This window comes from Homo sapiens, chromosome 14 (genome assembly GCF_000001405.40).
Source record: "Homo sapiens chromosome 14, GRCh38.p14 Primary Assembly".
Lineage (NCBI taxonomy): Eukaryota > Metazoa > Chordata > Mammalia > Primates > Hominidae > Homo > Homo sapiens.
Window position 1 is genome coordinate 55,257,305 of NC_000014.9, and position 21,474 is coordinate 55,278,778.

Genomic DNA, 21,474 nt, shown 5'->3' on the forward strand with positions numbered 1-21,474 from the left:
TTACCTAGAGGTAATTAATAAGTTTATTGGTTTTCTTCTCAAAGGTATTCACATCACAATTTCTTCTAAAATTTTCAAGTGAAAAATTTGCATTTACTTGTTACTTTTATGAAATATATCTAAGATGCAAAAAATATCAGAGTTATTTTACAAACATCCACAGATTCACCATATTTTGTTCACATATTTTCTTTCTTAAATATGATGTTATGGATAAAATTGAAGCTCTTTTGTTCCCCATTCCAATTCTCTCCCCCTTCCTTTCTCCCCAGGGGTAACTATTATTCTGAAGTTGTTTTGGGTATTTTTCATTGAAGTCTTTAGGCTTTTATTGCAATGGTAGCTGTCCATAAGCAATACCAAGTATTGTTGTGTGTGTGTGTGTGTGTGTGTGTGATTTGTATGTTTTTAAGATTTGAATAAATGGTAGCATATAGTGTATGTTGTTTTGCAATTTGCTTTTATCACATGAACAAAACGTTTTCTGGCCCTTTCTCTATTTTTTTCCCTAATGAATAGGGAAAATAATACGTAGGGAAAAAATAGTTTGCATTTTCTTAAGTATTTGAAAACAGCTTTTAAAAAATAATTAGGTACTTGTGAGTCTGGCTCTGGATTTAGATTTTACCGACAGTTCCATAAGACTGACAGGGAATCAAATAAAAGGGTACTCAGACTGGACTAAAATGTTGTCAGGTTTTTTACTTTGATCTCTATTGCTAAAAAAAAAATTGTCAGATTCAATTGTCACTTAGATGAATATTAAATTGTGTTTTTATTTATTTATTTTGAAACAGGGTCTCACTCTGTCACCTAGGCTAAAGTGCAGCGGCATGAACATGGCTCACTGCAGCCTCAGCCTTCTGGGCTCAAGTGATCCTCCCACCTCAGCCTCCCAAGTAGCCGCGAACACAGGTGCACGCCATCATGCCTGGCTAAGTTTCTTTTTTTTTTTTTTGAGACAGAATCTCGTTCTGTCACCCAGGCTGCAGTGCAGTGGTGTGATCACAACTCACTGCAGCCTTGGCCTCCCAGGCTCAAGTGACCCTCCCACTTCAGCCTCCCTAGTAGCTGAGACTACAGGCACGTGCCACCATGCCTGGCTAATTTTTGAATTTTTTGTAGAGATGGGGTTTCACTGTGTTGCCCAGGTTGGTCTGGAGCTCCTGGGCTCAGGGAGTCCTCTCCCTCAGCCTTCCAACTAGCTCAGACTACCGGATGTGCTAACATGCCCTGCTACTTTAAAAAAAAATTTTGTAGGCCTGGCGCGGTGGCTCACGCCTGTAATCCCAGCACTTTGGGAGGCTGAGGTGGGCGGATCAAGAGGTTGGGAGATGGAGACCATCCCGGCTAACACGGTGTAACCCGTCTCTACTAAAAATACAAAACGTTAGCCAGCTGTGGTGGCGGGAGCCTGTAGTCCCAGCTACTCGGGAGGCTGAGGCAGAAGAATGGTGTGAACCTGGGAGGCAGAGCTTGCAGTGAGCCGAGATCCCGCCACTGCACTCCAGCTGGGCAACAGAGTGAGACTCCATCTCAAAAAATAAAAATTTTTTTTTTTTTTAGAGATAGGGTTTTGCTATGTTGCCCAGCTGGTCTCAAACTCCTGGCCTACAGTGATCTTCCTGCCTTGGCCTTCTAAAGCATTTGGATTCCAGGCATGAGTCACTGTGCCTAGCCTCAGATTCATATAATTTATCTTTGATAACAATGTGCAAATTTTAGTCCCATCCATGATAATAAGGTCCAATCTGCCAACATTTGAAAAACTCCCTGAAAAGAACATGTAAGTCATCTTACCCTTGAAAAGGCACCAAGAAAAATGTCAGCCTTTGGAAAGGCCAGTAAGATTCACTCCAGCACATTCAGGTAACGATTCAGGTTAACGATTCAGGAAAGGATCACAAAGCTATGGCCTTTAGGGAGGGTCATACTCTTTAATTTTGTTCCATTTATGTAATATCGACAAATGTGGCAATTTAAATATCACTGCACTTAATGAAGAAGTATTTTTGTCTCTGACTAGTGTGATGTAGTAAATGAAATTGTTCTCATTGATTATTCATGCAGTCACTGATTCAATAAATCAGTAGTGTATGCCCTTAAAGAGCTCACATAGGGAGAGGGGTAGCTCTATGTAAAAATTACATTAAAATGTTTTAAATGAAATAGCAAACATGGAAACAAAGTATACAACACGATCATAGATCTTGGGAATAATTTGTTTAGAGAGTGAGGGAAGAAGTCATGGGGATGACATTGCAGTAGGTGGATAGGAACATGTTGGTGTGCATCACAGTGCTTGTGCCTTCTCTGGATGGCTTGACAGCCACCCAGGAGAAGCGCAAGGGTGGAATTGAAAGAGGCAAAGAATACCAACTTTACTCATTTTATACTTTGTACAGGCTCTTGAAAGAAGGATGGCTCAGCCAATAATTTTGGAGCTTGAAAAACTCCACGTTTCTTTTTTTTTTCCTGTGATGTTCCAATAGGGCTTTTACTTATCAGAACTCAACTTCTTCCTTAAAGCAGGAAATTAAGAATTAGATGTGCCGGCTGGCCACAGTGGCTCATGCCTGTAATCCCAACACTTTGGGAGGCCGAGGCGGGCAGATCACAAGGTCAGGGGTTCGAGACCAGCCTGGCCAACATAGAGAAACCCCGTCTCTACTAAAAATACAAAAATTAGCCAGGCATGGTTGTGCATGCCTGTTGTCCCAGCTGTTCAGGAGGCCGAGGCAGGAGAATTGCTTGAACTTGGGGAGTGGAGATTGTGGTGAGCCAAGACTGCGCCATAGCCTGGGCAACAGAGTGAGACTCTGTCTCAAAAAAAGAAAAAAAAAAAAGAATTGGATGTGCCAACACACAGAATAACACAGATGTGGAAACATATTTAGGGTATTTTTTAGAAGGATTTAATGAACTTAAAAATGGAGCTAGTGACCACACTGTTTTTTTTAGAAACAGGGTCTCAATCTGTCACCCAAGCTGGAGTGCAGTGGTGCAATTATAGCTTGCTGCAATTCCGAACTCCTGGGTACAAGCAATCCTCCAACCTCAGCCTCCCAAGTATCTGGGACTACAGGCACACACCACCACGCCCAGCTAACTTTTTCTATTTTTTGTAGAGACGGAGTCTCCTTATGTTGCCCAGATTCGTCTTGAACTCCTAGACTCAGGCAATCCTTTCTCCTAGACCTTCCAAAGTGCTGGGATTACAGGCATAAGCACCCGTACTCAGCCATTACCACACATATTAGCATTATTCAGAGGACAGAACTCTATAGAGTTTTGCCAGTACTGAAAAATGTAAAAAAGAAAATGCATGCATCCATGCAAAAGCAGCCCCCGAGTAGCAAGGAATGGAGGAAATAGTTGAGAAAGGGAGAGGATTCAGATCTATACTCGACATGCAGAGACCAGAGGGATGTCATGTGTAGATCAACAGGAGTCTTCTTGGCTAGTGATGACTATAGAAGTCAAGCCTATTGGAAAGAAAGTCAAAATATATTGGAGATACGGTAGGGACAGAGGCAGGAGAGAGAAAGAAACACAGAAAGCTAGAAAAGTGCAGCAATAGTAAAAGTAACAGATGGCAGAAGCCACAGGAGCAATGGGGCATTAAGGAGCATATAATCTGCGAGTGAAAATGTCAGCTCCAAGATAAGAAAACCAGAATAGCTCTGAATCAGGAGGAGCAATGAGATGCTCACACCTTCAGTAATTTTATAAGGTCGTCCTTATGCTACTTTGAAGGTACACTTTGGCTTTGCTGAGGGGAGGGACATCAAGAGAAAGGACAAAAAGGCTCAATTGACTTTAGTGATACATATAGGCATTACTGTTCAGAGTGTGTCTTGCTGAAGGCACACAAAAATATGTATAGCTCAGCAGTCTTAAGAAGGGGCAAGGCGTGAGTTGCTGTGAAAGGTCAGTGGGATTCTCTGTCAGTGACAGTGAACTATAATATAGTGGCATGATCGAGCCTATATAATGGTACACTAAAAAAAAAGCCAAATTGGCCTGGCGTGGTGGCTCACGCCTGTAATCCCAGCACTTTGGGAGGTAGAGGCAGGTGGTTCATGAGGTCAGGAGTTCAAGACCAGCCTGGCCAAGATGGTGAAACCCTGTCTCTATTAAAACTACAAAAATTAGCCAGGTGTGGTGGTAGGCACCTGTAATTCCAGCTACTCGGGAGGCAGAGGCAGGAGAATTGCTTGAACCTGGGCAGCAGAGGTTGCAGTGAGCCGAGATCATGCACTCCAACCTGGGTGACAGAGTGAGATTCCGTCTCAAAAAAATAAAAAAGGCCAAATCACCATAAACTTTTCCAAGGAAAGTATCTGAAGGCACCCCTATTCAAGTTCAATACTAATTAACAAAACAAATGCTTTTTTTTTTTTTTTTTTTTGGTAAGGAAATCTTGATATCCAAGCTCCGCTTTTTGAAAAGTTGTCTTTGGTATTTTAAAGTAAGACTTGGCAATAAAAGCATAGTTACGCCTGGTAAAAAAATGTCAGCAAACCCTAAAACTGCAGAATAAGTTGCTGGGTTTTTTTTGTTGTTGTTATTCAAAGAACTCAATGCTGAGCAAAATCTATCCCTAGGACCATTTTTAGCAGGCTGATGTAACTAGGTTGTTTTAGCCAGGCAGCTCCTCCTTTGCTGTAGCAGGTGCCTGTGAATTAGGTGTGCTAGGGCTTGAGAAGAATAAGGACAGGCTGGCTGGTCTCATGCTAATGCTGCAGGCTCCCCCAAATTAAATTGCAGTGACTGGAAAATATCATTTTCTTGAAGATTTCAAAATGTCACATGAGTGCCTACTCATTTACTTAAATAACACAATCTTATGCATTAATAGACAGACTGTTTCCCCCACTGATTTTATCAACTTCTGGTATCATTAGTTTAAGATCATTCTGGAAGCACAGCAAAGAAAATTATTTTATTACTGGACAATTGTAGAGCCTGCCCCCAAAGGAGGTTAGTGTCTTTCCTCCCATATTTTATTTTCTCTTCCACATATCAAATAAAAATATAAAATATATATCAGGATGTTTTCAGCTATGAAATGTTTTAAAGCCCTATACATGACTTAAATAGCAATAGAATTTATTATCTCATATAACAAGAAGTCTCAAGGATTGGTTAAATCAGAGGTGCACTGATGTCCTCAGCCTCAGGTAACTTCCATCCTTCCGCTTTGCCATCCTCCTGTTTCTTCAGCTAACTCCTCTCATGGTTCCAGGATGACAGCCATAGTTCCAGATATCACATTGCAGACACAATGGCATCTAGCAGCAAACAGATGGTTTCTTGCATGTTTCTCTTTTTCTCGTTGTTGGTAAATATGATTTTATTTAGGAAAGTAATGCATTTCAACAGAAAATGAATGTCTCTTTTTAGGGGTAAGAGAAGATTTTTTCAGAAGTATCTCGGCCAACTTCCCATTGCATTTTATTGGCTAGAATTACATCACACTCCCATAAGATTATTATGTGAGTTGAATCAGTTACTGACAGGGAGATTGGGACCACACTGATTACCCTAGAGCAGGTTCTCTCAACCTTGGCACTACTGACATTTTTGGTGGAATAACTCTTTGTCGTAGAAGCTGTTCTGTGCATTATAGGATATTGAGCAGCGGCATCCCTGGTCTCTCCCTTCTAGAGGCCGATCACGCTTCCTCTCAAGTAGTGACAACTGGAAATGTCTCCAGACATTGCTGATGTCCTCTGGGAAGCAAAATCAATCACTCCATGAGAACCACTAGCTGAGGTCAATCATTATTCACACGATGGTTCTGGGCCCACCTCACCAGAAGCACAGATAGGGTAGCCCAGATCAGGATTCTGTTAACAAGCAAGAAAAGGGGAAATTGCTGTTCAGTAGGCAGTCAGAGGGCAGTGACTCCCACGCTCACACCATTTTCTATCTTGCTATTCTCAACAAACAGACCAGGGGCTTATTAAAAATATAAAAGATGTTAACACAAGTTATTTGGCATTACCTGATGAATACTGGTGGTTATCTAAATGCCAAGTGGCTAATGTAAATATCCTTGTAATCAATGGGTGAGCTAGGTAATTAAATCACGGGTAATTTGTGTTGAAGCATCAAAATCATGACTGGCTGGTTGGCTAGGTTCTGTAGGGCTCAGATGTTCCTACTTTTGGTCATATATTTGCAGCAATGACTTAGATTTTGCCTTTATTCAGGTCCTATTTTTAATGTACAAGTCGCTCTACTCATGTTACTTTTATTAGTCATCCACTGTAACATTTGTGGCCTGGATTAAATCTTTTAGTAAAAGAAAGTATATTTTTATTAATTCAACAGATATTTATTGGGTGCCTATTATGTACCAGGCATGAGGCACTGCAAAGGAAAACAAGGCTGAAATACTACACTGGATAGTTAAGGAAGGCTCTCTGAGGCGATGACATTTTAGCTGAGACAAGTTGGGAGAATAAAGAGAGTTGATAAAAGGAACATGTCTGATTATACTGGGCCACAGTAAAGGGTTCTGATTTTATTCTAAGAGCGGGGAGAAGAATCAAACGGCTTCAAGATTTTGTGTGTGTGTGTGTGTGTGTGTGTGTGTGTGTGTGATGAGCTGCTTCCCTTTGCCTGCTATATTTTTGTACTTGGAATGCAGCTGGGTTTAATTCCTTCTGTGCTATAATAATTAGCGGGCTATGCAAACCTGCGTTCTCATTTTGTGGTTTTTTTTTTTTTTTTGCCTTCTATTTCTTAAGGCAATGTTACCGTTTTGTCTTCTAGTCTCCTATGCACAGCTCTTCCATCTCCTGGTTCTTTAAAAGGTCCCAACCTCTGGATTCAAGCTCCAGGGTCTATGGCCTCATCCGAATCATGTCTTTTTTATTTTATTTTATTTATTTTTTTGAGACAGGATCTTGCTCTGTCGCCCAGGCTGGAGTGCAATGGCGTGATCTTGGCTCACTGCAACCTCCGCCTCCCGGATTCAAGAGATACTCCTGCCTCAGCCTCCTGAGTAGCTGGGATTACAGGCGCACACCACCACACCCAGCTAATTTTTGTATTTTTAGTAGAGATGGACGGGGGGGGGTCTCACCATGTTGGCCAGGCTGGTCTCCAACTCCCGATCTCAAGTGATCCACCCACCTTGGCCTCCCAAAGTGCTGGGATTACAAGGGTGAGCCACCGCGCCTGGCCTGGATCATGTCTTTTAATCTTACTCCATTGGCTTTGGAGAGAACACTTCCTGGGGAACATCCCACTTTCCTAAGGAGCAAGGTCCCTCATTTTCTTCCATCTTCCTTTCAAAAACGTCTTCCATCTTTCATAATTGCAAGGGCTAAATGATTCTAAATATAGATCACTGTTGTCCTTGCAGAAAATCTTTCTAGCATTTGAACATAAATTATTCCATTGTTGTTGTAGAACCCCAAAAGCCAGATTCAAGTACCTGGTGCGCAGTAAGCCAAACACAGATATGTCAGTCTTAGGAGCAGAGAAGGCTTATTCAATTTGGCCAAATTGTGAGGATAGGACAGGCAAACTCTCAAATCCAACCTGCCTTTGAACATGATTGAGTGTTTCCATGAGAAAGGTAGCTACGTGGAAGGTGAGATCCCTAGGCCGATCAAACTTCTGAATGCCATCAAGGCCGATCAAACTTCTGAATGCCATCAAGGAGGTCTGAATGACCCAAGAATCATTGTTCTTTGGAAAAACAAGTTCATTAATCTTGTGGGCAGCCCCTGAGGGTTAGGATATGAAGTTAATCAATTAGTAGTGACTACCCTCTACCGAAATGACTATGTGCGAGCAATCACGCATGGGGGAAGAAAAGAACAAAGAAAAAAGGAAAACAAGTGTTAAATCAAGTTTAGTCTAAAGCTGCCTCCTTACATATTTTAAGTTCAGCCCAAAAATTTCTCCATGCATAGTAAACTGAAACCTAACTGAATGTGCAAACAGACTAACCTACCTATTAGTACTAAACCCCCTGGCTTGTACCAGCCACCGGGTTTTGGCCAATAGGTGGCCAACTATTGAAACTGTGTTCAAATAAGGCAAACGCTGAGCTGTATCCAATGTGGCTGTTTCTGTACCTCACTTCCGTTTTCTGTATGTCACTTCCCATTTTCTGTCCACAAATCTTATTCCACCACGTGGCTGTGCTGGAGTCTCTCTGAGCCTACTCTGACTCAGGAGGCTTCTTGACTTGTGAATCTTTCTTTGGTCAGTTAAACTCTGTTAAATTTAACTTGTCTAAAGTTTTTCTTTTATCACAAGTAAGACAAACACCTTATGATGTGGTCGTTTTTAAAAAATAATATAGGCTTGGCCGGGCATGGTGGCTCACGCCTGTAATTCCAGAACTTTGGGAGGCCGGGGGCGGGTGGCGAATCACCTGAGGTCAGGAGTTGGAGACCAGCCTGGTCAACATGGTGAAACACCATCTCTACTAAAAACACAAAAATTAGCCAGGTGTGGTGATGCACCCTTATAATCCCAGCTACTTGGGAGGTTGAGGCACGGGAATTGCTTGAACCTGGAAGGCAGAGGTTGCAGTAAGCTGAGATCACGCCACTGTACTCCAGCCTGGGCGACAAAGCAAGACTCCATCTAAAAAAAAAAAAAAAAAAAAAATATATATATATATATATATATATATATATATATATATATATGCTCAATGACATCACCATTACTTATTGAGTACCTTCTAGGTATTAGGCACCGAGGTTGGTATTGGGATAAAGTGATGAATAAAACTCAGTTCCCATGTTTTCCAAAGCTCTCATTCTACAGGGGTTATAATAAATAAACTCTAGTGTAATTAGTGTTATGAAGGAACTAAACAGCTTTGTGAAAGAGAATAATTTTGGGGCGACTAGATAGGAAGGCTAGGGAAATCCTGGCTTGAAGAAGCTCTAACTGCATTCCCATGCCACCCCAAATAAAAATAATATCTAAGTAAAAATTGTGCTGGCTAGGCAAATGTTCCTAACATTAAGTTCCCCAGTTTTGTACCCCCCTCCCGCCCCCACCACCCCCAGTGCCTCCAAAATCCCTCTAAATATAAAGTCTGGCACCTTCAGTGCCCTGAGGAGACTGTTAAGCCAACACCTAAGGTAGTGTTGGGGCCAATGAGGTGCAGAGGGGAGAGGAAGCTTCCGGGCTGAGGGACCTCGAGATGGAACAGAGATTGCCTGACTTGACGGAAGAGCTAACATAATGCTGTCATTGACTTCTGTTGTACTGCACTTGAGTTCCATAGACTACATAGAGCTTTTAAATGTAGGGACATCAGGAATGCAGATTGTTACTTGTGCCTAGAATTCTAGTAAAAATTCAAACATTAAGGAGGGACTTGGAGACCACTGTGGCCTGTTATCTAATCTGCCCAAGTGTTAATTTTGATGAAAAGAATGTGACGATTTCAGTCTAAGCCTTGCTTATAACTTTAGCAAGAGAAGGAATTTCTCCTTTTTTTTTTTCTTTTGAGACAGACTCTCGCTCTGTTGCCAGGCTGATGTGCAGTGGCGTGATCTCAGCTCACTACAACCTCTGACTCCCGGGTTCACGCCATTCTCCTGCCTCAGCCTCCGGAGTAGCTGGGACCACAGGCGCCCACCACCACGACTGGCTAATTTTTTGTATTTTTAGCAGAGACGGGGTCTCACCATGTTAGCCGGGATGGTCTCGATCTCCTGACCTTGTGATCCACCTGCCTCAGCCTCCCAAAGTGCTGGGATTACAGGCATAAGCCACTGCGTCCGGCCAGAATTTCTCCTTTTATATGCTATCAGAAGTGAAATATGGGCACAGTGACTTATACCTGTAATCCCAGCATTTTGGGAGACTGAGTTGGGAGGATCATGTAAGCCTGGGAGTTTGAGACCAGCCTGGGAAACATAGGGAGACCCCATCTCAACAACAATAAAAAATTAGCCAGCCACAGTGGCGAGCATCTGTGGTTCAAGCTACTTGTAAGGATGAGGTGGGAGGATCACTTGAACCTGGGAGGTCAAGGCTACAGTGAGCCGAGTTGGTGCCACTGCTGCCTAGCCTAAGTGACAGAGCAAAAACCCTGTCTCAAAAAAAAAAAAAAAAAAAGAGAGATACCTATGGAAATTGTGTGGCTCACTGTATTGACAGTGTAGAAACCACCTTCTGAATGTTCTGAGGGCAATACTGTGGGGATAGGAGGATCTGGGACCTTGATTTGTTTCCCATCCATTGTACTGGAAGGGCTGCCCTTGCTCTACATGTCTCTTACACCGCCCCACCATGAGAGTGCAGATCACTATAAGATAAGTTAATCTAAGGAACTTTTAAAAAAATTAAAATTATCTTCTAAACTGTCTGTATATATCAGGGTGTGCTTTTTTACTTCTGCTAAGAGTCTCCAAAGAGACTCTTGATTTTTAGCTCTTATCAGATTTTCACAGGGGCACAAGATCTAAAAAGAAGGATAAGAAGGATAAGAACTATGATTTCCTGGGTTTCAATACTTATTCAACTTTATGTCCCTCACCATCCACATCTTAATTATAAGATAGAATCATATCTGTTAGACAGTGTGCTGCCTTGGTGCTCTAGTTTTCCCTGAGTTGTTCTATTTATTGTGGATAATATTTATATTCTCATGGCTGAGTAGCTCCTGCCCATCCCCCCGTCATCACCAATGAGCTTCACACATGCATAAACCTGGGCATAAGCTCAGGGCTTGAAGCATGCTCCAACGGCCACATTCCAGGCATATTTTTTAAGTACATGCTTTACTTTTGCAAAGTTGAAACTTTTAAAAGCACTTCTGCTTCTCTTTTCTTATTTGGTCTTTATAATAACACAGTCAAGTAGGTAGGGAAAGGCATTATCACACCCAGCGGCCTAGGTTCTGCAGCAAAGTAGGTCTAGATGCAAAGTCTAATGGAGCCTGTCTCTTGGTTTCCTTTCTCCAGCAGCGGGGAAGTAAGTTTGATAAGGAGGGTTGGGGGGTGAGAGAGAGAAGATGAAATGGTGGGTGTCCTAGTCTGTTTTATGCTACTATAACAGAACACCTGAGACTGGGTCATGTATAAAGAACAGAGATCTATTTCTTACAGTTCTGGAGCCTGGGAAGCCCAAGGTCAAGGGGTTCATAACTCTTGAGGGGCTTCTTGCTACATCATCCCATGGTATAAGGTGGAAGAGCAAGAGAACACCTAACAGAGTGAGAGATAGAGAGGGCCAAGCTTGCTTTTATAGTAACTCCCTCTCTTGATAAGTAATCCACTCCCTTGATAATGGCATTAATCCATTCATGAGGACGGAGCCCTCATGACCTAATTGCTTCTTAAAGGTCCCGCTTCTTAACACTGTTGCATTGAGGATTAAGTTTCTAACACATAAACTTTGGGGGACACGTTCAAACCATAGCAGTGGGTGTTTTTATTTGGAGGTTGGAGTAAGCTTATTAAGGAATAAGCAGTAAGTTCTTAGTTTTTTTTTTTTTTTTTTCTGAGCAAAGAACAGAAATGAAACCAAGTCTATACAAGACAAATCCCTTGAACTGAGTTTTAATTAATATGTTTGCTGGCTTGAAACAACTAAGTTTTAATTACTAATGGAATAACCAAATATATATACTATATATATTTAGAACTTTTCTGCTGCTGTGCCACCTCAGTCTTGTTCTTCTTTCGGCTCTCACCAGTCCCATGGCCTCAATGTGCCACCCCATGCCCACCTGGGGAGCACCTTCCTGAAGACCTACCACAGGACCTGTGGGTTGATAAACTATACTGGCTCTACTGGCTTTGCTTCTAGGGGATCATTGCCATTATACAAATGGAGAAACAAAATCAAGGGAAGTTCTTGCCTAACATGGTTATGCTCTCTCCTAGTTCTTTTCTCCTAGACTGGGGCTATTTAAAGTGTGGTTCACTGGCCAATCTGAGACAAGAACTGAAATTGAGAATCAGATTTTAGAAACTTTACTAGCAATTTGACAGAATAATTTTATGTCTGTGGACTTTAATAATCAATAATTCATAGGCTAGGCATGGTGGCTCACTCCTGTAATTCCAGCTATTTGGGAGGCTGAGAAAGGAGGATTGCTTGAGGCCATGAGTTTGAGACCACCCTGGGCAACATAGTGAGACCCTGCCTCAAGAAAAAGATGAAAAAATATAATAATTAATAGTTCGGGCTTTTATTATGTCTTTTAAAATTAATTTCATTTTTATATCAATTTTTTGAGTCCTCTAATCAACAGGAATCAAGTTTTGTTTGTTTTTTTTTTTTTTTTAGATGGAGTCTCACTCTTGTCGCCCAGTTAGGAGTGCAGTGGTGTGGTCTCAGCTCACTGCAAACTCCACCTCCCAGGTTCAAGCGATTCTCCTGCTTCAGCCTCCCAAGTTGCTGGGACTACAGGCGTGCCCTGCCACACCGGGCTAATTTTTGTATTTTTAGTAGAGATAGGGTTTCACCATGTTGGCAAGGCTGGTCTTGATCTCCTGACCTCAAATGATCTGCATGCCTTGGCCTCCCAAAGTGCTTGGATTACAGGCGTGAGCCACCATGCCCAGAAGGAATCAAGAGGTTTTAAGAAGGACAGTGTTTGAGATGAATCTGAAAGGATAAACTGAAGTTTTACAATTTTGAGCTAACTATGACATAAAGAAGCTTCAAATGATCATGATATATTGAGCTAATATTGCTCACATATTAAATCAGACATACAGTTTGATGCCACGGTGTACCATATAACACCCTTCCTTAATTTTTTTTTTCCTTTTTGAGATGTGAGCCACCGTGCCTGGACTTCCCCTCTCCAATTTTTATTAAAAATATGTATATAGATAAAGGTCTAGATGGAGATACTGAGTGGTTATTTCTTGGTGATGAGATTATGGGAAATATTTTTATTTTGTTTTTACGTTTTAATATTTAAGATTTTACACATATATTTTACAACAGTAGTTTTATAATTGGACAAAATTATTTTTGTTAAGGACTGGCTAAAATCAAAGTTGCTGGTTTAAGTGTAACTTGGTACAACCTTTTAAAAATCATTTGGCAGTTTGTATTAGTAACTGTGAAAGTGTTGATAGTCTTTTTCACCTAGTAATTTCACTTTTGGGTATCTTTAAAAATCTACATTCATGAAGATGTTCTATGATTTCTTTATAATGGCAAAAAGTGAATGAAGGAAACAAGTTATGTCCAAAAATAGAGAATTACTGCAGTAAATTTTATGTCCACTTAATGTAATTTTATGCAGCTGTTAAACTGGTTATGAAGCTTATGTGGAAATATGAGGAATGCTTATAAAAGTGAAAAGAGGATGCAAAATCGCGTACAACTACTATTACAGTGTAGTAAAATATATGTGATGGGGCAAAAGGTCTAGAAGAAAATACATTGTCCTCATGTTTTTCAATGTGGTTAATATTATTTTCACAATGAAAACAATAATAAGCTTAAAGATTGGGAATCAAAAGTTCCTCACTGGCCCTCTGATTTGAATATAAAGTGTTAAAAATTTATATCCATCATTAACCAGCCCTTAAGCTTCTACAGACTTTAACAGTTTCGTGTCAGCCTCAACGTTTATCTACTTTCTGACCGGTATCCCTGCCATGATTTTCATAGGAAAGAGAGTCAGAAGGGACCTTTCCAATTTTGTCATTTTACAAATTGAAACTCTGAACCCCAGCCTTCCAAGCTAGCAGCAGAACCAGTATGAGGATCCAGGTCTACTAGGTTATCTAATAGTATCTGAGACCATTTACAGCTTCAGGTCCACCCACGAATATTCATAAACTTGACATGTCTGCTGATTGAACCCTGGCGTCACTACCCTTCTTGGCTGGCCTGGGAGGTTTGATTCCTTTCCCTACAGTCGTGCTCAAACTTTCATTCTCTACCACTTGGGGGCCGCAGACGCGTCATCCAGGTCTCCCTTTTCACTTCCCCCTTCCCGCCCCCAGTGTCCGGCAGGGGGCGCCGTGAAACTCTGGATCCGTGGCCCCTCCCCCGGCCAACCGTCGATTGGGCCGGCGCGTGACGTCACTCCGTTTTAGCCAAACAAATGGGTTTCGGGGCGAGCGTTGGGCGCCGCCGCGCCGCGCTGGGTGCTCGGTCCGACTCAGCGGTGGGGAGTGAGCCAGGCCTCCCGCCACCGCTGCTGCCGCCACCACTGCGTCGGGCTGGTGCAGCCCCGGGCCAGGCCGCGGCCGGGGCAGGAGCGCAGGTGGGTCCGGGCCGAGGTGGGGCGTGGCGCGAGGGCCGCGCGACTGGGGTCCGGCGGCGGCCACCGTGGCCGCTCCCCGCCCCCTACCGCCGCCTGCCTGCGCTCCCGGGGCGCGGGGCGGGTGGGGGTGGGGGCGGGGGCGCCGCCCGCGGGTCCGGGGTAGGGACCCGGCCGCCTGCGCCTCCTCCGGTGCGGCTCTTTCCGCGCGCACGGCCCGGGCGCTGAGCGTCCCCGCGGGCCACGGAGGGTCGGGCGGGTAGGGAGCGGGGTCCTGGGTCCCCGCTGAAGCCGAGGAGATTCACGGATAGGCCGTGAGCTTGCACCGGACCGGCGCTCCCACTTACGGGACCCAGGGCGGTGAGGAAGTCAGCCTCTGGACTGGGGTCGCCTCGCCCCTGTCGCGCCCTCCCGGGCTCGGCCACTCTGCCCTTCCCTGCCCCAGCGCAGGTGAGCTGGCGCTTGTCCTTAACCTTCTTCAACGACGAGGCGGGACGGAGGCTCGGACGCCTCCCCAGCCTCTGGGCTGGCGCAAGTCGACTGCGGTTCGTCCTCAGTCCACGATGAAGTCATAGGGCTGTGGGTCCGTGTGTCTGTGACGTCAGAAGATGGGTCCTGGGATGTCACTGCAGGCCCGGGCGGGGACCTGGGCTCACGGAAGGGCCGGGGGGACCCGCAGGGTAGAAAAAGGAAGTTGTCTTCCACGAACGCTTGGAATCGCAGTGGATTTGAATCGAAAGTTGTTCGGTATCAGCATTTTGCAATTTTAATGTAATAGTTGTCAATTTCTTTAACTTCTTGTCCAGCAAGCGTTGCGAGTACAGCTCAGTATAAGACATTTGATTTAGAAAAACTTAAGTCAGGGTAGGAGGTTTTTTGGAGGGTGTAATGTAAAAAGCCTTTTAGGAAGCTAAATTCGTAGTTTGATAGTTTGCAATCAGAATTACTGAAAAAAAAGAGAACCACTTCTAGTGTTGATAAATCAGTTTGCTTTTTTTTTTTTTTTTTAACTGGACATCTATCTGCTTGTTAGCATTTTTTGTTAGAAAATGGCCAGGAGGAGGGAGAGTGGATCTTACATGATTTTTTTTTTCTGTTGTAAAGGGAGGGAGGAGTTTGAATTAATCCAACATTTGTCTTAAATAATAATTACCTGAGGAGTTAATTTATCCAGGTTGTCCCTATCCCACCCTATGGTACCATGCTACCACCCCATGCTACCATGGTTTAGAAGTCAGCAACAAGCTGTTTTCTTGCTTTCTTACTGAGACCCGGCTATAACTTAATATAAAAACATATTCCAGGACCGCTTGTCTGGATAGGTAACTAAAATTTTGTCTGTAGTGCTTTTAAATATGAAATTAGAGAATAAAAAAATGATTTGTCTGTGAATACTGTTTTTCTTCCAAAGCTTTCAGAAGAGATCTAACTGGAAGAGAAGCTAGTCACTTTGTCATAGTGACCCTCTTCGGGTATTCCAGCATATCAGTACTTTTCATTTCCTCCTCTGTAGAATAATGTAAATGGAATCTAGTTCAAAAGGTAGATGGCTTAAACTTGAAGCATAGTTAGTCTTTAGCAGGAAGCTTGGGTAGAAGTCCTTAATCCTTCCTCACTGACCTTGACTTGTAATGGTACGGTTTTTTTTTTTTCCTCTCTCTCAATACTTCCTGCTCCCCATTTGCCTTTTAGAGGTGATTGATAAGATACTGTCTCTCTGGGTTTTACATCAACATGCAGATGGAAGTTATGCCCATTTTCAGGCAGGAAATAAAAGCAAAAATTTACCCGTTAGGTACTATTGGATTTGACTGGAAGTTCACAAAACAAGGCTTTCCTGTACATGTTATTTTGATCCTCACCACAACCTTGGGAATTTGACAGCATTGTGTGCGCTACTGAAAGTTGTTCTGGTTTTTTCTTCCTTCTTTTAAGAAATGAGGAATTTTATGCTGACAGTGTTGAGTGAAGTCTCTAAAGATACAATTTTGTATACAAATTATTTTTCGTATGTACAAATTTTGTATACAAAATTTTGTATGAAAGATACACATTTGAGCCTTTGGATCACCAGAGACTGAGAGGCACTTGAATTATTATGCAACTGCTGATATTGAGAGTGTTAGTCAACCTTTAAGATGAAAGAATCTTGGCAAGATACTATGTAATGCAATTGAAGGAGGTCCAAAATGGACGCTTGCATGTGTCTTTCCCGAGCGGTAGCGATTCTGGGGCCGGCTACACGGCTGTATGTAAGTTAGGTGTACTAGTTTTTTTGTATGTTTTTTTGAAACAGAGCCTCGCTCTGTCACCCAGGCTGGAGTGCAGTGGTGCGATCTCGGCTCACTGCAACCTCCGCCTCCCGGGTTCAAGCGATTCTCCTGGCTCAGCCCCTCGAATAGCTGGGACTACCGGTGCGTGCCACCATGCCCGGCTAATTTTTGTATTTTTAGCAAAGACGGGGTTTCACTGTGTTGGCCAGGCTGGTCATGAACTCCTGACCTCGTGATCCGCCCACCTCAGCCTCCCAAAGTGCTGGGACTACAGGTGTGAGCCACCGTTCTCGGCCAGGTGTGCTAGTATTAATGGGAAAGGATGAAAGTCAGACTAAATAAGAGTTGAAAGACCTGCAGCTGATAAGGAGATACCTGCTATTCGGCAGTGCATTTTTCCTCTCTATTTTGCTTAGCAGTTAGGAAGTTTTTATTTTTCCTCATGGAAAATGAGTTAATAGGTGAAGAATAAATGTCATAGTGCATACTGATGTGACTGAGGGACAACGACAGATATTTAAAAAGCCAGCTTGTGAGTGTTGTGTAATTATCTAACAAGCCAGAACTCGTGTGAAACATTTTTACAGTCTGTTTCTATTTTTGGCAGGATCTTTTTCACCCATGCTTTCCAGTTTTGGGTCTGGGAAGCAGCTTTTACTTCATATAAATGGTTTTATGGAAATTAATTTTGAGATTGGTTTATTATTTTAAGTCATTTTATTCACTTATATAATTTGAAGGCACTAAATTAAACAGTCATTCGTTATCCATCTTTCTGATGGATAAAAGCAAATGTCAAGATGAGAGTGCTGTATTGTAGAAATTCCTCAGGATATGTTTATTGGATCAGTTATTTTATTAACATTTAGAATTTAAATTCTTAAAAATTTTTACTTTATTTTTTAAACTTAATTTATGTTCAGCTAGCTTAATTTGACAGTTTTTATGTTCTAGTAACTTTAATCTTGTTTTAATATTTGTTTGGGAGAAAACATACTTATCTTTAGAGACATCATTTAGTGTTATCTTCCAAAATTTGCAGCTGTTTAGAACCAGATACTTGAGGGAAGCTACTATGGTATGATGAATGCCTTCCTTGTTAGGTCATGTGTGACAAAGGCAAAATTCAGCAAGTGCATAATCTGCAGTCCTTTGGAAGCAACAAAAACAAAAAAGAGCAGATTAACTCGAAATGCATTTAGGTCATCTGGAAATTGAATTCCTGTCAGTTCTTATCTTTGCATAATTTATCTTCTCCCCTTTAGTTAATGCTTATGGTATTTTGAAGCTGATGACATACTTTATTTTCCAGGAGAGCATTAATACAGTGTAGTTGTTTGTTAGTGTTGGTTAAAAGAACTTATCAACCTTTCATTCCCACCTCCATCTTCTAGTTAATGCTCCACAGAAGAGGCTCTCAGTAATCCATTTTAAAATATTCAGCTTCAGAAACCTAACATGTACATTTCCTATCCTCAGTAGAGTATAGGTGTAAATATGAAACTAAGTGCTATGTAAGTGTGGTTATTGCATTATTAGGTATGGATTTCATTCATCCAGCAAACATTTTTTTGAGTATTTCTGTGCCAGGTACTCAGATAGGGACTGTGACACAGAGATGATATATCCTTGCTGCAAGGACCCTTAACCTTTGTTTTAACATTGCCTTGCTATGATGGGTCTTGGGTGTGAGAGGCTAGAGTTGGGTCAAGAGGATAAACTATTGGCCGGGTGCAGTGGCTCATGCCTGTGATCCCAGCACGTTGGGAGGCTGAGGCGGGCAGAACACGAGGTCAGGAGATTGAGACCATCTTGGCTAACACAGTGGAACCCCATCTCTACTAAAAAAAAAAAAAAATACAAAAAATTAGCCAGGCGTGGTGGCGGGTACCTGTAGTCCCAGCTACTTGGGAGGCTGAGGCAGGAGAATGGTGTGAACCCGGAAGGCAGAGCTTGCAGTGAACCGAGATGGCGCCACTGCACTTAAGCCTGGGTGACAGAGCGAGACTCTGTCTCAAAAAAAAAAAAAAAAAACGAGGATAAACTATGTTATGCTAGATTGGCCAGAGGTGTTAGTTAAAGGTCAATTTAAGGAGGTATTAGAAACTCAGTTAAAAAGAATAGGGAATAGCTTATCATAGCCCAAGACAGACAAAGGGCCTAGATAACCACAGATTGAGATTGTGCTAGAATGAATGGAACTTGGTGAGTTCGGGCTTCCTTAGAGGCAAGAACAAGTGCTCAAGGCCAGAACTAGTCTATCTAGGCAATCTAAAATTAGAAGCATAGAAAAGAGGGACAACCCGAATACCTTTTCTCCTTTTCTTTCCACTCTCAGGCATGCATATACCTTCTTTTCCTTTAAAGTCAGTCCTTTAATTGATGAACTTGGGAAATACGCAAGCCTCTCACAGCCTTCATTTCCAGTGTTTGCTTTCTTTCTGGAAGATTTCATAGTGAAACATTTCATTCATTACAGAAAAGTGGAAAGAATTGTTTGTACATTGCATACCTAAATACCCACCACCCCTATATTGTTAGTCATATTTTGGTGTATTTGCTTTATTGCCTATCTATCGGTCTATCCATTCATCAATCCTTTTGTTTTTGTTGTATTTCAAAGTATACTTTACACCTAGACATTTCCCCATGCCTATTATTAACTATTTGTTTACTTGTTTTGTTGTGCCTGAGCGAGTTAGAAAAATGCCACACTTTGAGACGAATTAAGAGTCCTTTATTAGCCGGCGACCGAGAGACGGCTAACGCTCAAAATTCTCTCGGCCCCGAGGAAGGGGCTTGATTAACTTTTATATCTTGGTTGAGGAAGCGGGGGGGTCTAGTTAAAACAATTTTACAGAAGTTAAGTAGTCAAAAAAATTAAAAGGATAAATGGTTACAGGAAAGTAAACAGTTCCAGGTGCAGGGGCTTTAAGACTATTACAAGGTGATAGATTCGGGGCTTTGGGCATTATCAATCAGACGAATTCTTGGGGACTGCGGATATAGCTTCCCACAGTATCTTATCAGTTAATTGCATTCTTGGATGTGCTGGGAGTCAGCTTGCACAAGTAAAGTCCTTGAGGGAAGGGGCTGCCAGTGAAAGCCAAGATGGAGTTTGTCTGGTTCTCTTAGCTAAGGGAGAAACAAGGCCAGGTGAATAAGGATAAAACAAGGTTGGGCATTACAGTTTTTAGGCAAAACTTGTATATAGTAAAATGTACAAATCTTATGTATACCATTCCCTTAGTTTGAACAAGTTCATACATCTGTGTAATCCATATCCCTGTCAAGATATAGAACATTTTCATCACCACAAAAAGTTCCTTCCTGCACCTTCTAGGTTAATTTCATTAGCTGTTTAATCTCCTGCAATCATATTTCTACTAGTTCCTTCTGAAACTACTTGTTCAAATGGTCTACTTTGTTAGAAGTACATTAGGGTCGCATTGTGCTTGGTGTTCAGAGTATAAAGAAATGAAGAACATAGCCCTTGCTATATGATTTAATTTTTTGTTTTGTTTTGTTTTTTGAGACAGTCTCGCTTTGTTGCCCAGACTGAAGTACAGTGGTGCAATTCATAGCTCACTGTAACATTGAGCTCCTGGGCTCAAGCCGTCCTCCTTCCTCAGCCTCTTGAGTAGTTGGGTCTACAGGTGTGTGCCACCATGCCTGGCTGCTTTTTTTTTTATTATTATTTTTTAAAGAGACTAGATCTTGCCCAGTTTGGAGTGCAGTGGCTGTTCAAAGGCCCAATTATAGTGTACTGCAGCCTTGAACTTTTGGGCTCAAGTGATCCTCAGCCTTCTGAGTAACTGGCATGTACCACGGGCTTAGTCTGGGTTGTAATTAGGTATCTGAAGAGAGATAAGTAAATGTTACATGAATTCAGAGGACGCAAGTTTCTTAGGAGTGGATCTTGAATTAGGGCTTCTCAGTTATAATTCTATCCAAGTCGTGCCTACATTTTTATTCATAAACTGTTAACTCTTGTTGGGTTTCTGACTACTAGGAAGATGCTTCTTTTGTATATCCCTTTTTACTTTGGCTTATTCAGGATCCTGTAGCAAGATCATTTGCTTTAAGTAGTTGTAGCAAACAGGATTTATTGAGAGAAAGATATGTAAACTTTGAGCGGGCTGAATCAACAGATTAGTCTGAACTTCTAGAAACAAACCCCTGAATGACACTGCAGAGCTTGCCTGCCAAGGGGGCTACTGCCACCGCAGCACCGAGAACCATGTCGTTGAATCAGAAAGCCGCTACCAGAAGTTTAACTTCCTTGGGTAGGACTGTTGTTTCTGTTCTCTGTATCTTATGCAGGTATGTCTGCTTGCCCATACTTAGGTCATATGTGAAACCTTAGCATTGCCTATATGTAAAACAGGAAGTGCATGTGAGAGCTTTATTGCATTATTGAGTCTGCAGTACATTCAGTTTGTGAGGAACTGAACTCATTTTCCCCAGATTCCCTCACTGTGACGAAGTTAAGCTTTTTCTAAGTTTCCTTTTTCAGTCCAAAGGGATGGGTATTGTTCCAGTTTTCTGAGGTAGAAACTATTGAAAACTGTATCATTTAGATTTTTTTAATGCAGATGTAACAGAAAACCAACTCAAATTCACTGGCTCACAATATTAAAAAGTCCAAAGTTGAGGCTTGATTCAGTTATACTTGTGTGATCAGACTTAATCTTTCTCTTCCTTTATTTAATGAGCTCAGCTTCCGTGGTTTTGGTCCCTTTGTGTTCACATGTTTGTTGCAGCTCAAGCCCTACAACCTCATGCTATCAAGTCCAGAGGAAAATACATAGGACTACTGTACAAAGAAAACTAGTTACATTAAAATGTAGTTATAAAAGTATTTTAAAAAATTGTTGGTAATACCTGTTTCTTTTTTTGAGACAGGTGCTTGATCTGTTGCCTAGGCTGGAGTACAGTGGTGCTAACAAGGCTCACTGCAGCTGAACCTCC

General features: G+C 42.1%; 1 protein-coding gene and 1 long non-coding RNA gene across 15 annotated transcripts in view, besides 1 other annotated feature; one reads left to right on the top strand and one right to left on the bottom strand.

The window, feature by feature from the left end:
• Window positions 1-4,926: 4,926 nt before the first annotated feature.
• Window positions 4,927-14,774, bottom strand: FBXO34-AS1 (FBXO34 antisense RNA 1). Of its 2 annotated transcripts, none has more exons than NR_184222.1 (2): window positions 14,578-14,774; window positions 4,927-5,852 (listed from the first exon to the last, which is right to left on the bottom strand). It is a non-coding gene; the product is annotated as an FBXO34 antisense RNA 1 (long non-coding RNA). The 2 variants fall into 2 exon arrangements; NR_184223.1 differs by lacking the exon at window positions 14,578-14,774 and adding an exon at window positions 13,841-13,998.
• FBXO34 (F-box protein 34) overlaps window positions 14,117-21,474 on the top strand; it is a 171,629-nt gene continuing 164,271 nt past the window's right edge. For 6 of the 13 annotated variants that reach the window (XR_007064023.1, XR_007064022.1, XR_007064024.1 and 3 more), the window contains exon 1: window positions 14,796-15,001. Coding sequence is in view for 1 of the 13 variants with exons in the window: in XM_017021391.2 (XP_016876880.1) it covers window positions 15,000-15,001 (2 nt within the window). In the remaining 12 variants the exon portion in view is untranslated. Of the gene's footprint in view, window positions 14,234-14,604; window positions 14,681-14,795; window positions 15,002-21,474 lie in introns of those variants that run through there. The other 7 variants (XR_007064026.1, XR_007064028.1, XR_007064027.1 and 4 more) reach the window with 3 other exon arrangements.
• Window positions 14,169-14,668: a silencer, noted in NCBI's record as "silent region_5781". NCBI's record gives its function as "represses an Ori minimal core promoter by ATAC-STARR-seq in GM12878 lymphoblastoid cells {active_cell/tissue: GM12878}" and the evidence as "EXISTENCE:reporter gene assay evidence [ECO:0000049][PMID:35858748]".